Source organism: Homo sapiens, chromosome 5 (genome assembly GCF_000001405.40).
Source record: "Homo sapiens chromosome 5, GRCh38.p14 Primary Assembly".
Taxonomy (NCBI): domain Eukaryota; kingdom Metazoa; phylum Chordata; class Mammalia; order Primates; family Hominidae; genus Homo; species Homo sapiens.
In genome coordinates this window covers 41,926,552-41,943,044 of record NC_000005.10, presented here as the reverse complement: position 1 = coordinate 41,943,044, position 16,493 = coordinate 41,926,552, and the positions used below count along the sequence as shown (strand labels likewise).

The window sequence follows — 16,493 nt, the reverse complement described above, 5'->3', positions numbered from 1 at the left end:
AAGGTTTTTCTGAGATTTAAAGTTTATGTATACAAAGTATTATACACATTGCCTGACACAGCTGTCATAAAGGCTAGCATTTAGTCTTAGCTCCAACATTTGAAGATTTTGTAAATTTTACAGTATCCTCATAATTAGTAATTTTAAAAATCTCTTTTGTTACCCATAATTATATGGAGAAAAACATCTAAAATGCAAATGGCTCATGTACTTGTCAAAATCATCAAGGATCAAATATAATAAATTATATCTCATGCTGCAAATAGAGTGGGGAGAACCCCAAGACATGCAGCAAGTCCTATCCAAAGATAATTAGGACTAGGAAAAGACCATACAAAAATGAGTTAATATAAGAGAGATAAATTTCATAGTGTATAGAGGAGGAAAAAAAGATTTGATTGGGACTCTGGAAAATTAAACTAAAAACTAGAAAAATAAATGTATCTTGCTTTAACAAAAATCTAGATTATAAATACTGGAGTGTGCTATAAGAAAAAAAGAGCATAAGGTACTAGTTTAAATCTGGTGAGTGACCTAGAATTTGATACTACACTATTTCATTTTCTCCATTCATCAGATATAATATCTTAATTATAGAACTGAAATGCCATTTTAAAAAAAGATAGCTGATATAAAAGCATTGTTCTGCTTCCATTGGTACTTAATAAATTAAACCACTCTTCTATCATAACTTTGGATTATTATTAGAAATATTAATAATGCCTCACCATAGTAAAACTACAAATATCTAAGTAAACATTCTGACAAATGTGAAACCATATGTTCATAGGTCTTTCTCGAAGGTCTCCTAAACCCAATAGTCCATTAGGCAAAATTCTGCCCCCTCAACAAAAAGGTTAAAACAGTAATAGCACTGACCTAAAAGAGACTAAATACAATTATATGTATAATATATGTTACAAACTTTCTGTCCAAAACAGAAATACATTTAAATATGGAACTTATATAAACTATATATAGATATTTATGGCTTTTACTATAATCTTAAAATTGCTGAGTTCCAGTGAGATATTAGGGTGTTTCTTCTGCCGAGTATAAGCCATTTGTGGAAGGAAGTAATATGATACATACAAGTCTCTGGGAAGTTTTCACTCTGAGTATGGAATAGAATTTGGCTTTAGTATCTTATGAGCTTGCGAAGTTATCTGAAAATAGTAAGAACTATCAGGAAAAGTTATTTTTCACTAAAGCAGTATTAAATATGATATAAGCTTGCTTTCTACTGTTTCATAATAAAAGACAGATTGTATGGCCATAATATTAAATGCAATTCCAGTACATTTTTCAGTCTTTAAGCAGTGTATTTATTAAGAATAGATAAAAATTTCTTTTCTGATAACCACTTATGAACCCTTGAAAAGACTGAATAGAAAGTTTAGCAAATTTGCTATTTCTCACTAAGGCAATCTTTATACCCAAAAGAATAGAAACTCAGGGAATGAGAGGCACAAACTTGTTTTTTCCAGAATTTAATATTTTTAAAAAGACAGAAAATATAAAAATTACCAAAAAAATGTTTAAAGGTTCATTTTGGGGCTAAATACTAGGACTGAAACTCTTTTCTTGTAATTGATTTATGGTAAAGAGTAAAAATAATATAAAAAACACAGCAGTTATAGCTGTCCAAATGAAAGCCTATCTGCAAAAAGGCAGGACAAGGTGGGCTGACTGAGCAAATATTCACATCACGACCTTAGTAATAAATTTCAAATGGTTTCAGTTCCCAAGATCTGAAAAGAGAATCATCTTGCACGCTTAGATTCCACTTCTTCAAGAATCCACTCAATGCCATTCAAAAAACCAGTCAGAGTTTCAGCCTCTGTATCCTGGACCTCGGAATACATAAGAGAGAATGTTGTTAGTAAGAAACTAAGTCCAAAATCTTATGAGTAGGAGGGACATTTTTCTAGACACTAAAAAGATAACAGAACTTTTAAAAATCCCAATAAACTTTGGATAAGTTGCTCAAGTTTTGTTTTGTAGAGCACTTAGATAAAAATATGATCATCTCTCTTGTAACTATTACCAATATAAAGTTTATTTGCCTTGGAATTCAGCTTTGGAAATGGAAAGAACTACCATTTCCATGACTTGCTTCCATGTATGAGGGGAAAAAATTCCTCCAAAGGATCCACTTTGAAAACTAAAACATTTTTTAGTGACCCAGTTAGTCATATGTGTGACATCCTGTTGCAAAAATGTGTCTTGAAGACTGCCACTCCTCCTAATGGTAAAGCTAAAATTGCCACCATTCAGAAGGGGAAACTTTATTAGTAGTTTTCAAACTTCATTCCAAAGAGTCTTTGGAGCTCCAGGGAAGAGATGGAAGGGGAACAAAGAAAATTCTCTTACTTTTTCCGCAAAAGGTTTCCAACTTTAATTTTTCTTTATCTGTTTTACTCAGGGGTTATCATGTCAGGTTTTGTTTGAAGAAAGAATGCCATAATTAAAATGTATTTTAGGGCTGGGCACGGTGGCTCATGCCTGTAATCCCAGCACTTTGGGAAGCCATGGCGGGTGGATCACTTGAAGCCAGGAATCCGGGACCAGCCTGGCCAACATGGTGAAACCCTGTCTCTACTAAAAATACAAAAATTAGCCAGGTGTGGTGGCACATGCCTGTAATCCCAGCTACTTGGGAGGCTGAGGCATGAGAATCACTTGAACCCAGGAGGCAGAGGTTGGAGTGAGCCAAAATTGCACCACTGCACTACAGCCTGGGTGAGAGCGAGACCCTGTCACAAAAAAATAAATAAAATATATTTTAGAAAGCAATAAACTATAAGATGGAACATATAACTTTGATGATCCATAAAGCATAATACATTGATATTATAAAAAACATAATAGTGGCATCTAAAAAAAAACAACCTGGCTGAGCATGATGGCTCACACCTGTAATCCCAGCACTTTGGGAGGCCGAGGCAGGCAGATGGTTTGAGCCTAGGAGTTCGAGATCAGCCTGGGCAACATGGAGAAACCCCATCTCTACAAAAAATACAAAAAATTATCTGGGTGTGCTGGCACACACCTGTAGTCCCAGGTACCTGGGAGGCTGAGGTGGAGGGATCACCTGAGCCCAAGAGGTTGAGGTTGCAGCAAGCTGTGATCGTGCCACTGCACTCCAGCCTGAGCAACAAAGTGAGACCCTGTCTCAACAAAAAAAAAAAAAAAAAAAAAAAAAAAAAATCCCCAATTGTTATCTCACTGTATGAGAGAAGAGGCAAGTAAGACACAATTGATCAGCTAACATTTATTATCACCAATCAAATAGCTTCCATAGATTAAGCTATTAAAATTGACTTTAGAATGCCATTTCATTAAAGAAGATGAATTTAAAAAATAAAATCAAATAGAAAATAGAGTGCAAAATAAAATTTTTGTCACTAGAGTATAAATGATCTTACCAGCCATGGGTGATTTAGAAGATTCAGATGCAGCTCATGAGCCAAATAAAAACAGGGCATTCTTTTTACATCCCCTTGAGAAATACAAGATAAAACCAACAATGGTCTTCCCGAAGACCCAAAGGCTGGATCTGTCATTGCCATAATATGAGAAAATTCATCTTGCCATTCATGTCCTAAGGAATGTAAGTCAAAACCCTTAATTTGCATTACTTTTAATAGTTTTGAAAATAATAAAATAAAAAACTAACAAAGCGAGGGAACAAAAATTTACCAGGATCCAAACATAAACTGAGGGAAAAAAATCACAGTACTCTTCAGATGTCTCCACAGTTTAAAAGCAAAAATGCTTGATACAGGTAGTTCCTTTCACAAATTCTGTAGATGTCACTACCCTTTCATTCAAAGGGCTTACTTTCAAAATGTAGGCATATAGTAGAGTTTAGCTTTTTTTATGAATACCAACAATCTCAACCTTCTATTGGAGTGTTTGGACCATCTGCATTTTGTGGTAGGCAGAATTTTAAGATAGCCTCAATGTTCCAAACCCTTGCATAATCCCTTCCCTCTTTAGTGTCTGAAGAACCTACAAATAAGATGGGGCATCACTCCCATGATTAGGCTTTAAGACACGGTTGACTTTAAGAAAGACAGGTAATCTTCATTGAGCCTGACTAATCAGGTGAGACCTTAAAAGCGGCTCTTCTTGTTGAAAGATTCAATGCAGGGAGATTCTCCATTGCTGGATTGGAAGATGGAGGGAGTCACATGGGAAGGAATATAGGTGACCTCTAGAAGCTGATAACAGCCCCCAGCTGACAGCTAGCAAGAAAACAGGAAGGTCAGTCCTACAACAATAAGGAACTGAATTCAGCTAATAACTTGAATGATCTCGGAAGCAAATTCTTTCCCAGAGCCTCCAGAAAAGGATGCAACCATATGATACACAAATTTCAGCCCAAGAGGCCCTATCCAGAGAACTCAGTACTACCATTTCCAGACTTCTGACATAGAGAACTGTGAGCTAAAAAAATAGTTGTTTTAAACTATTAAATTTGAGGTAATTTGTTAATAGAAATTGAAAATTAATAAACATTTAATGTACTTATCAACAAGGTGCATTTAAATGTATCCTATACGTCTTAGATTTTGACTTGTCCGTCTATTCTTTGTTCCTTCTTCTCTCTTTGCCTACCTTCTTTTGGACTGAGTTTTTTAATGGTTCCATTTTATATCCACTACTGGCTTAGTTACAACTTCATTATACATTTTTTAGTAGCTGTTGAAGTATATGTAATACACATTTTTAATTTGTAAGTCTACCTTTAAATATTATGCCATTTCACATATAGAAGAAACTTACAGTATAATATACTTAAATGTTCTCTCTTCCATGATGTGTTCTATATCACATATTTTTCTTTAAAATGTCATACATGTATAATACACTATTAGTTTTTTTTATTAAAATTAGAAAAAAACCTTTTATATATAGCTCCATTGTTTCCATCCCAGGAGTCTTCATCTTTTTCAGTAGATGCAAATTTCCATCTGTTATCATAGTCTTCTGCCTAAAGAGCTTCCTTTAAGATTTCTTATAGTGAAGATCTGTTAACAATCAATTTTCTCAGTGCTATGTTCAAATGTGTTTCTCAAAATTCATGTGTTGCACATTTAAACCCCAATGCAAGAGTGTTGCAGGAAGGGGTGTCTTTGGGAGTTGTTTAGGTCATAAGGGCTTTACTCTTATAAGTAGATTAATATTGCCATTAAAAACGGCTTGCAGCCCTGTCTTTCCCTCTTCTGTCATGTGAGAATGCAATGTTTGTCTCCCGCTTCCCTTTCTGCCTTCTGCCAAGTAAGAAATCAGCAAGAAAGGCACTCACCAGACACCAGATGCTGGTGCCTTAATCTTGGACTCCCTAGTGTCCAAAACTGTGAGAAATAAATTTCTGTTCTTTAAAAATTCATTTATTGATCTGTAATAAAATTAGACTAAGTAGTCTTGGGAGAATAGGGATTTAGGTGAAGCCAGAGGGAAAAAAATCACAGTACCATTCAGATGTCTCCATAATCTAAAAACAGAAATGGACTGATATACAGGTCTGGGGTATTCTGTTACAGTGGCACAAATGAACTAAGACATTGAACTTCTGTTTGTCTGAAAAAGTCTTAACATTGCCTTTATTTTCAAAAAAATATTTTTGCTAGATATAGGATGTTTTTTCCCCCTTGCAGTACTATAAAGATTTCTCTTTATTGGTTTCTATCCTGCAGCAATTCTGACAGGAAATTTGCCGTCACTATTATCTTGGCCTGTATGTATGTTTTCATTTTTTCTGGCTGCGTTAAAGATGTTCTCTTTATCTCTGATTTTTATCAGTTTGACTATGATGTGCCTAGATGTATTTTTCTTTGTATTTATGCTTGGCATTCTCTGAGCATCTTCAATCTGTGGTTTGTTGTCTTTCCATAATTTTGAGATAATTCTGGCCATTATCTGTTCAAAAATTCCTTTTCCCCTTTTCTCTCTCCCTTCATGTTTTGGGACTCCAATTACAGATAAGTTAGATCAGGGGTCAGCCTACTACATTCTGTGGGTCAATTTTTCTAAATAAATTTTTATTGGAAAACAGTCTGTCCATTCATTTACGTATTGTCTCTGCTGCTTTTGCACTGCAATAGCAGAGCTAAGTGATTGTAAAAAAAAAACAAAAAAACTGTATGGTTCATAAGCCTACAATATTTACTATTTGTCCCTTTAAGAAAGTTTCCTGACCCCTGAGTTAGATCACTGGATAGATTCCCCCAACTCTCACTCTGTTCCTTGCTCTTACTTTTTTTTCTCTTTGTGTTTTAATTTGGATAATTCTGAATGACTTAACTTCACTTTCAATGATTCTTTCCTTTGCTAATATGCCCACTGAAGGAACTATTCATCTGTTGTCATATTTTCATATCTAGCATGCTTGTTTTACTTTTTCAAAACAGCTTCCTTTTCTCTGCTGAAAAATCTATCTGTTCACACATATTGTCCACCTTTTCCACTAGGTCTCTCTCAATCTCTCATTTTTTTGTGGGTTGGGGACAGGGTCTCGCTCTGTCACCCAGGCTGGAGTACAGTGGTGTGATTTCAGCTCACGTAACCTCTGCCTCCCAGGCTCAAGCGATTCTCCTGCCTCAGCCTCCCAAGTAGTTGCGACTACAGGCACGTGCCACCATGCCTGGCTAATTTTTGGTATTCTTGGTAGAGGCAAAATTTTGCCATGTTGCCCAGGCTGGTGTCAAACTCCTGGGCTCAAGCAATCTGCCCGCCTTGGCCTCCCAGAGCCACTGTACCTGACCTAGATCTCTTAATCAGTTATTTTAATGTCCCTTTCTGAGAATACCAACATGCTGACCATCTCTGGTCCAGTTCAACTGACTGCCTTATCTCATGACAATGTATCATTTCATTTTGATTTTGTGAGTGTCTCATAATTTTTAGATTTAATGTTAGGTGTTTTATGTAGAAGAGCAATAAAGACTGAGGTAAAAAGGATTTACTCCTAAAAACAGGCATCATACTTCGGTCAGGGTATTAATGCAGTAGGCTGAATCAAACTAGTCTGTAGTTGAGCTGGATTTGGCTTTTATTGCTATAGTTAACTTTGTAACACACAGACTTTAAATTCTTCCAGCAGCATGCTGCTGCCTATCTTGTTCTCAGTAACAGCACTGGAGTACCAGAGTTTCTTTCTCAGAGTTTCTACTTGTTCTCAGCTTTCAGCCTATCTTGTTAACTGTGCCATGGGGGTTATGGGGAAGAGGCAAGGAGAGCCTCTCCACACCCTTCCCCCATCCCTGCAGTAGTCTGCTGTTGCTCCTTAATTGGTAGGGACATGGAGATTTCTCAGTTTTCTCATTCCAGCCTCAGGCCTTAGGTAGGCCCTGTGCACCAGAGCCTCAGTGCTGCAGGCTTTCTCAGTGTTCCAGCATGACTGCTGAATTCTGCCCTGTATTGGTAGAAAGGTCTCCACTGCAAATTTCCTGCCTCTCCTCCAGAGTCAGCAAACATTTAATTTGTATCAGTGCAAGATCCTTGGTACAAGTGGAATTCCTGCTCCTCCCCTAAGACAGCTTTTGTTTCTATCTCCCTTGAGACAGCAGCAGTCAACTTTTGTCTGTGGAAAACAACTTTGGCTTCATTGAGAAAAGGATATAGAAAGCAGGAGGATATACCTGTCTTCAAGCACCAGCTGGTCATCACATGCATGCCTGTACCACCAAGGAGGGCACTCATAGGTCTCCTGCCTTACCACTAACCTTTTACATGAGCACCTAGTAGAGGCCAGTGGGAAAAAGCTGATAAGTGAGTATAGTCTCTTTGTGTCTTGTAAATTTTTTTAATTTATTTTTTGTGTGCTTGTTTTATAGGAGCAGATTGGAAAACTAGATAAAAGTAGGGGCTATATCTGTTTTAGTTCCCAATTGTAACTGCAACATGCCTGTAGGAACTAAAACACTATTTGTTAAATGAACTTATCTTTTATTTTGCTTCTAAGTTTTCTTTTTATAGATAGCCCTGTAATAACAGAAAGTAATTGCAACTGCTTTCATGCCTAACAGATCACAGGGAAAATAAATTGAATAGAAATTCAAACCAGTGTATTAGAGAACTATAATATATATACAATATATTATGTATTTATATTCTACCTTGTTCACAAAGGATTTGGGAAAGATATTATAATACTAGCTCATGGCCCAATGATATTTTGATTTCACACAAAAATAGCATTCTGAATGGCAATTATTCAGAATATATGAATAGTGTTCTCAACTAATCTACTTAACACCCTACCATCACATCTCTTTACTATTTGGATAAAACAAAGATAAAATTTTTCATAGTTATTTGCATAGATTATTTGAATAAAGCCAGAAGCAGACAAAATGTCAGTATCAAAAAAATGCAGAAGCATAAAGCAAAAAAATATTGTATAGCTCTAGTACCAAACTTTGGAATGCATCAGAATTCCCTGGGTGCTTGGAAAAAACAGATGCCCAAATCTGATTCACACAACCCAAATCTAGGAATAAAATCCACCAGGGTAGGAATCAGCTTGTTAACATGTTTAACAAGCTTCCCAGGTGATCCTAATACACACAAAAGTGTGAGAACACACTATTAATAGTAAGGGTCAGAAAATCACATTGATAAAATAAGCCATCATATTCTTAAGAAGCCACAGTAAAGTCTAAAAAGGTATTTTCCATTTGCTTTGAAAAGAACAATGTGCTTAAAAATGTACATATGAGTACTTACTTTTATGAGCTTCAGCATTTGCAACATAGATGAACCCATCTACAACTTCACACACTTTTTGAATCTGTGGAATCACACTGTACCGGCTTCCTTGTTGATCATCACCTTCATTGTGTCGACTGAACATCTTGTTAACTGCACTTGTATGCTCTTCCCTTGCTCTATCTCTTTCCTTTCTAGAAAAAAAATTGTAAAGACAGAATATAAAAAGACACTAAACAGGCTCCACTCACCTGAAATGTTTTAGTTCTGATGTTTCAGTTAAGCCACCAAGTATGTAGCCTTACCTGGTAGTTGAATATAAGATTAGAATGTTGAATTTATGTTGGTTGTTCAACTGAAAATTGACTCCTGATCCAATACCTAAGAAAGAAAATCACAGTTACCAAAACAAATCATTAATAAAAATAGCAAAAGATCACACTGAAAATTACCCGGTGAAAGCAAAAAGAGTAAAGAAAAAATTCTATAACAACTTATACATAGAGTTGAAATAAAATGTATACGTTGAAGAAAAGATACCGTATGTAACTTTCATTCACATGACAATAAAAATACAGAGAAAGAAAAAAACTGCAAGGCTTATAACAGTCCTTATATCATCATCACTATCATCAACAACTTTATCATCTTATCAGTAGCAGCTGCATAATCACAGCTACTACTATTTATCCTCAAGACTAAGACTCATTTTCATATTTTTATGTTTCTCATTAGTCTAATAATCAATGTATACATTCAATTAAGTGTCTTTCTCCCCCTCTGAAAAGCTGTTTTTAAATTGATGGGGGGGGCAGGCACAGTGGCTCACATCTGTAATCCCAACAATTTGGGAGGCTGAGGTGGAAGAATCACTTGAGGCTAAGAGTTCAAGACCAACCTAGACAACATAGTGAGAACCTCATCTCTACAAAAAATACAAAACAATTATCCAGGCATGGTGGCCCATGCCTGTTTCCCAGGTACTTGGGAGGCTGAGGTAGGAGGATCACTTGAGCCAGGGAGTTCAAAGCTGCAGTGAGCCATGATCATGCCACTGTACTCCAGCCTGGGTAACAGAGACCTTGTCTCAAAAAATAATAATAAATTACTGAGGAGTTGCCAAGAGAACATTAGTAAATTGAGAAAATACTGAAGATACTGAAATTTAGAATTCGTCAGAGTTGGATTATAATTCTGAATTTCTCACTTATAGCCATGTATTTGTATCCCTCAGTTTGACACCAAAAAGAAGTTGAACTAATATATTCTTCTTAGGTTTACTGGGAAGATTAAACGAGATCATACATGTAAAACTCCTAGTAGGGTGACTAGTAAACCACAAGTGCTAAATATTAGCTTCTTACTGCTTTGTATCTGAATCATTAGCCACTGTTATTTGTCCTTCTTTCTTAACCTCTTCCCTCCTTGGACTGTGTTAACACTAAGTGGCTGGTTCTCCTTTTGCCTCCTCAAAAGACCCTTCTGGGCTTCCATGGCTCTACTTCATCCTGTTATATAAATGTTCTTCTAGATCTGTTCAGTTCTCTGTATCCCCATGACCACACTTTAGTTCACATTGTCATCATCACTCACCCGGGCCTCTGCAATCACTTCTAACCAGTCTCCTATATCTTCTTGCCTCCTATTATCCTTTCCTCTGACATCAGTTGGAAGAATTTTTTAATAATGGTATCTAATTGTCTTCTCTACAAAGCCATTGCCCTTCAGATGAAGAAATAAAACCATAATATCTGGTCCCTACTAACCTCATTAGAGACAACTCCAGCCTTTCATACTCTTAATTCCTGCATTATAACTAATTTATTTGTTTAAATAAGCTATGCCATACCATCTCATGTCATCATTCTAGGCAACACACACACAGGGCTCTTAAGTACTAAGACTGCAACCATGCCAGGCCATGTGATCCTAGTCCTCCAGCCACCAGGTCTGGTGCATGTTTCACAGAGACCACAGAATCAAACTTTACCATGTTTCTGATCTTTGTTTTCATCAGCTGCACTCCCAGAGATTACCCTCTCAACACGTCTAACTTCAGCCCAATATAGTCGCCATACTGTTCTGCCCTTCTTTGCCAATTATGTAACCCCATATTCTCTCGTCTTGCTGAGTGTGAGCCATAAATTGAAATTTTAAAACAATCACTTCAGCTGCTCTCTGGAAAATGGAATTGACATTTTATAACCATCAAACTTCCCCATTTCCTCAACCTCTTCTTGAGGTGTTCCTTTGACCTAATAGCCACACTTGAAATTGGCCTACCCCTAGGTGAGGCTTCTCCTGCAGTGAACTCTCAAGTAGCAAAGATGCTTATTTTCTCAAAACTCAAGGTAAAGAGGTGGGATTCATGTTCTCTTAACTCCCAATGCCATATCTAAACAATTACTCACCAACCCTCTGAAAAAAATCCTTCTACTTGAGAAACACATCATTCAGCTGTAGCACTCTTTCCTTCTTTGTCGTTATTACTTATGAATCTCCATTTAATAGTCACTTCCCCCAAACATAAACTGAACATTTCAGCACCTGTCTCCAATCTTCCTCTCCATCCTCAAAAACTTCCAAGTCCATGTGGACTCCGTATGACTCCCAAATCTCGATTTTCTAGCCCAGATCTTGCTCTTGAGAGCTGGATGCATACAGTAATCCATCAAGTCATTCACTCATTCACCAAATATACAGAGAGTGCCTGTTATGTGCCTGGCACCACAGATATAGCTAAAAATAAAGTGGACAAGACTCTTACCTTCATGGAGCTTCCATTCTAGCAGATTTGCTTATAGTAGGTATCTCTACTTGGATCTTCCATGGAGTTATCAAAGTCAACATATTCCAAAGAATAGCTGCCATTCTCCCTATACAGATCTTACTGTTACCTGCCCCTTCCAAATTTTTCTTAACTTCTCCAGTGATTTATTACCCTAGTGAATCCTCTATCATCCAACAAAAAACTCAAGTCAGAAACCTGGAGCCATCCTTATTACTGCTAATACATTTATTCTGTCAATTTTATATCCTTACTATTCATTCTCTTCTCTCATCTTCACTAACAGTGACTTAGAGTTCAGATCCTCTTCATATTTTAATCATAACATTACAGTGGCTTCTTAATGGGTCTCCATATCTTTAGCCCCTTCTAATCAATTCTTCACTCAAGAGCCTGAGTAATCTTTCTAACATGCAACCTTGATCATCTCAATCCTCTACTTAAAATCCTCCAGCAGCTCCCAAATGCTTAAGCATGGTACATATGTGTCTTTTCACATAGCTCCACTCTTTCTAGATACACAGTGATACTTCAAATGTGTCCTCTACATCCAGAGCTTTGTGCTTTTAGAAATGTAGTTCTCCGCCGGGCGCGGTGGCTCACGCCTGTAATCCCAGCACTTTGGGAGACCCAGGTGGGCGGATCACGAGGTCATGAGATCGAGACCATCCTGGCTAACACAGTGAAACCCCGTCTCTACTAAAAATACCAAAAAAATTAGCCAGGCGTAGTGGTGGGCGCCTGTAGTCCCAGCTACTCGGGAGAATGGTGTGAACCCGGGAGGCGGAGCTGGCAGTGAGCCGAGATCGCGCCACTGCACTCCAGCCTGGGCAACTGAGTGAGACTCCATCTCAAAAAAAAAAAAAAAGAAAGAAAGAAAGAAAGAAAAAAATGTAGTTCTCGCTGCCTGGAACACCTTTACTGTCTTTTTGTGATGGCCTACAACTATTCACCCTAGTGACTCATATGAGACATCATCAATATGGAGCCTTCTTTGACCGTTACCTTTCTACCCAGGAACTAAATACATCATATTCTAGTTATCTGTACACTTGTCTATGTCCTCACCTACACCTATCTTGAAGGCAAACAGAGACATTGTTCTAAATCTGCATCCCTATCATCTCACTTATAGGGGCTGGCTCTCAATAAATAAGTAAAGCAAAGGCTAAATTTTATTATTACTTACATTTACTATTTATCCTGCCTTGCCAAATATTTATGCATTTTTTTTAATAGAAAGAGGGGAAGGTGATGATTTAAATCTTTTGAATTCCAATACATATCAAAATACTCTCCACACAGATGCTCAATTTTTTCTGCTTTTTCAAACATGATAAATATGATATCCCACTGTACAAATGCAACATCTTGACAACAAATAATTTATTTTCACATAATCTTAAAGGCTGGATTGTACAAATTTGAGGAATTAAGAGGAAGCTTTCTTATAGTAAGTAAATTAATTCTGTCAGTTCAGTGGAACCTGGTAGGGCTCCCAACAACCAAAGTACTGTACTTCATTATAGCAAATAATTAATTTAAAATGAATTTCTTTCTTTTTAACAAGAATGTCAAGCTCAAAGTGTTTGAATTAACTGTAGATTAACATGAAAATTACCATCAATCTGCCTCTGAGGCAAACCAGCTGTTGGGCAAAGTTCCTCTGAAGACATCAAGCTCAACACCAAAGAGGTATTCAATTCTTCCAAACCTGGTCCAAACATAGCAAATCGTGGTTCATTCTGAATGATCAGGGAGTGTAAAAAAGAAGTGACAGCTCCATACATAGGACGGCTGGATTTTGAAGCTCTTCTTGTGTATGGACAGCACATTCTATAGCTGTAAAAAATTGTCACAATTAGAACATTAACACAGAAAACAGCCAGTTATTCATTCAAAAATATATAATTTATTGAGTACTTGCTAGACACAATGGATACAATGATTATATAGTCCCAATCCTCCAGGAGAACAATAGACAGACACCTTTATAATATGTATGTGGAGTGCTCTGACAGGGAAAAGCACAAGGTGCCATGGGGGTGGGAGTGGCCCAGAAGCTAAGGAACTCTTCCCCCATGAAGTGGTTACTTACTTTCTAATCTTTAATTTAGATTCTCTCATGGAACATTTGAATGGTGAAATTTTACTACATAAAGGTTCTCAACCCTAGGAGGTTTATCCCTGCCCCCCTGGAACATTTGGCAATGTCTGAACAACAAGTTTATTGTCACAACTGGGGAGGGGAGAAGAAGTTAGCAGAGGCCAAGGATGCTGCTAAACATTAATCCTACAATGCATAGGGCAGGCCCCAGAACAAAGAATTATTTGGCTCAAAATGTCAATAGTGCCAAGATTGAGAAACTCAGCACTAAAGATAAGCTACACACAGATAGTTAGCACAATATCCCTACAGGTAAAAAACAAACAAACCAAAAAAATTGCTAACACTACCAATATAACCAAATTTCAAATGTCTTGGGTACTTCTATTAATAGCCTCAAATATAACAGTTTAGTAAGAGTTAAATGAGGGAGGCTCAAATGATCCTTGCAGCAAACCTAGCAAACTAAGAATGATGTAAAACAATTCCGTTTCTTGCAATAGCTATAAATCTCTAAAGTACCAATTATGCATTTTATCAAAAATTAAAAGTTGCCCAAATCAAAATAAAACCTAAAGTCCTTCAAATAAGTCAAGCTGGTTAACAAAATCACTAACCTAACAAAATCCTTTTATTAGAAACCTTGTAACTCATGAAGGGGAAAAAACAAACACAAAACAACTTTGAAGCTGGATAGACCTGACCAAGCCTCACTACTTTTAGTTATATGAGCCACTTACAGTCTGAATTTCAGTTTCTTCATCTGTATTATTTGAGCAACAGAAATAACTCAGGGTTGGCCGGGCGCAGTGGCTCACGCCTGTAATCCCAGCACTTTGGGAGGCCAAGGTGGGTGGATCACGAGGTCAGGAGATCAAGACCATCCTGGGTAACACGGTGAAACCCCGTCTCTACTAAAAATACAAAAAATTAGCCAGGCGTGGTGGCGGGTGCCTCTAGTCCCAGCTACTCGGGAGGATAAGGCAGGAGAATGGCGTGAACCCAGGAGGCGGAGCTTGCAGTGAGCCGAGATCGCTCCACTGCACTCCAGCCTGGGCGACAGAGCAAGACTCCGTCTCAAAAAAAAAAAAAAGAAAAGAAAGAAATAACTCAGGGTTGTAAAAATGATAAGTACTTTATATGACCATAAATGGTAGTTACTATTATTACTATTCCCTGGGCAAAATCTAATTCCACAGCCTCATATACACTTGATGCAATGGTTAGCTATTGTACAGGTATTGCCTAGCAAGTGAGATACAGCAGCACTTGCTGAGATTATCTATAACAGACAACACACCTTTGAATCAAATAGTCTCACAACACTTGACATAATGGCATCTGTATTAGAATAAGGAAAGGCTCTGAATAACTCAAAATTTGAAAAAAAAATTCTGTATTTTGCTACTGAGTCAAGCACAACAATTTTTAAAGAATAAATATTTTGAAATTTTTAAAATAATGCGTTAAATTTGAGTTTCTCAGAAAAACAAGCTATATCCAGATATATAATGTCATTATATATCTTTGAGGTAGCATAATGGGGTTCCAGTCTGAATAGTCCCTTACAAGCTATATGACTTTAGGCAAATCACATAACCTCCATGAACCTTAATTCCACATCTGGGATACAAAGATAACACCTTCTTGTTGCATGAGGATTAAATGAGTAAAACATACATAAAGCATCCCTCGTAGAATCCAGTACACTGCAGTTGCTCAGTAACATTAATTATCTCACCTACGCAATATTAAAAAATGTCAGTGCTTTTCGGTGCTAATATAATCTTATTTCTCAGAGCCTTTAGAATGGTTTTCTTCTTCCCTGCCAAACAACAGGGGTCTCTGATCATCCTTTTTCTGAATACGGAAAAGTATTTACTTATTTAACAAAATGACAATTGTTCTAAAGATCATGAGACTTTTAAGAAGTCTTTTACTTCTTGCCATCTATACTACTTATAATTATTCAAATACTGGTTAGGCACCACAGGGAAATAATAAAATATTAAAGCTGAAAGGGTCCTATGAAGGAAGTCATTTAACTCCCAGTTTTGACGAGAACAATTAGACCCCAAATCCACGCAACAAATCAGTAGCAGGGTCAGGATTAACTTGGATATTGACTAGTAATACAGGAAAATTTAATAGCTTCTTTTTAATTCATAAAACTAGATACTTACACTGCCATGTAGTCAAAAAATGCACCATCAGTGACCTCAGATATAGGCTTTTTTAAGATTTCTAGATCTGGAAGAGACTTCCAGTCAACAGAAGACCAAGAAGGAAGATCCCTCAACAAAAAGTATCTCCACAGAATTGGATCTCTTACAGTTTCATTCCAATAATGATTTGTACTTCCCAACTGACACAGATCATGAGGTGAAAGAAAGGACAAAATATATAGCTGTACATCAATCTGAAACAGAAGAAAGCAGCAGGTAGGAAAAAGGAATGAAGAAAATAGTTTTTGGGTGATAAACCACATAATCAACAAATAAATAACAAAAGGTCAACTGACTAGTATTTTTAATAACTAAATCTACCATTAATAATTAAATCTATTATTTTCCTGCTATCAGCAAAGGATCATAACTGAACATTTTAGTTTCGTAGTTGTTAAACATTTAATTTCTGAAACACCTGAAACATTCCTGAAAAAGCAACCACTGTCTTGCTATTTTTCCAGCAAAATCACCAGTTCCTTTAATTTTTCCTCAGAGATATTTGGATATACCAGTTAGTTACATAAATTAGTTAAGGAAATAATTTGTCCTTCAAAATAAAACCCATATCAACCTTTATCTGATTTTATCATCAGACCAAATCAAAGAGTGTACATTTGTCTTTTTCTTTTTTGAGACACAGTCTCGCTCTGTC

The 16,493-nt window shown here is 36.8% G+C and overlaps 1 protein-coding gene across 5 annotated transcripts in view, besides 1 other annotated feature; it reads right to left on the bottom strand.

The window, feature by feature from the left end:
* Positions 1-16,493, bottom strand: part of FBXO4 (F-box protein 4) — a 115,124-nt gene that overhangs the window by 97,360 nt on the left and 1,271 nt on the right. The window contains exons 2-7 of one of the 5 annotated variants that reach the window (NM_012176.3): positions 15,797-16,032; positions 13,128-13,348; positions 9,024-9,099; positions 8,737-8,912; positions 3,429-3,604; positions 1,302-1,853 (exon numbers count right to left, since the gene is read on the bottom strand). In NM_012176.3, the coding sequence (NP_036308.1) occupies positions 1,764-1,853; positions 3,429-3,604; positions 8,737-8,912; positions 9,024-9,099; positions 13,128-13,348; positions 15,797-16,032 (975 nt within the window). In that variant the 3' untranslated portion in view covers positions 1,302-1,763. Of the gene's footprint in view, positions 1-1,301; positions 1,854-3,428; positions 3,605-7,959; positions 8,913-9,023; positions 9,100-13,127; positions 13,349-14,353; positions 16,033-16,493 lie in introns of those variants that run through there. The other 4 variants (XM_011514027.3, NM_001297437.2, XM_011514026.4 and 1 more) reach the window with 4 other exon arrangements.
* Positions 13,604-13,898: a silencer, noted in NCBI's record as "tiled region #10845; K562 Repressive non-DNase unmatched - State 15:Elon". NCBI's record gives its function as "represses a minimal TATA promoter and a strong SV40 promoter by Sharpr-MPRA in K562 cells {active_cell/tissue: K562}" and the evidence as "EXISTENCE:reporter gene assay evidence [ECO:0000049][PMID:27701403]".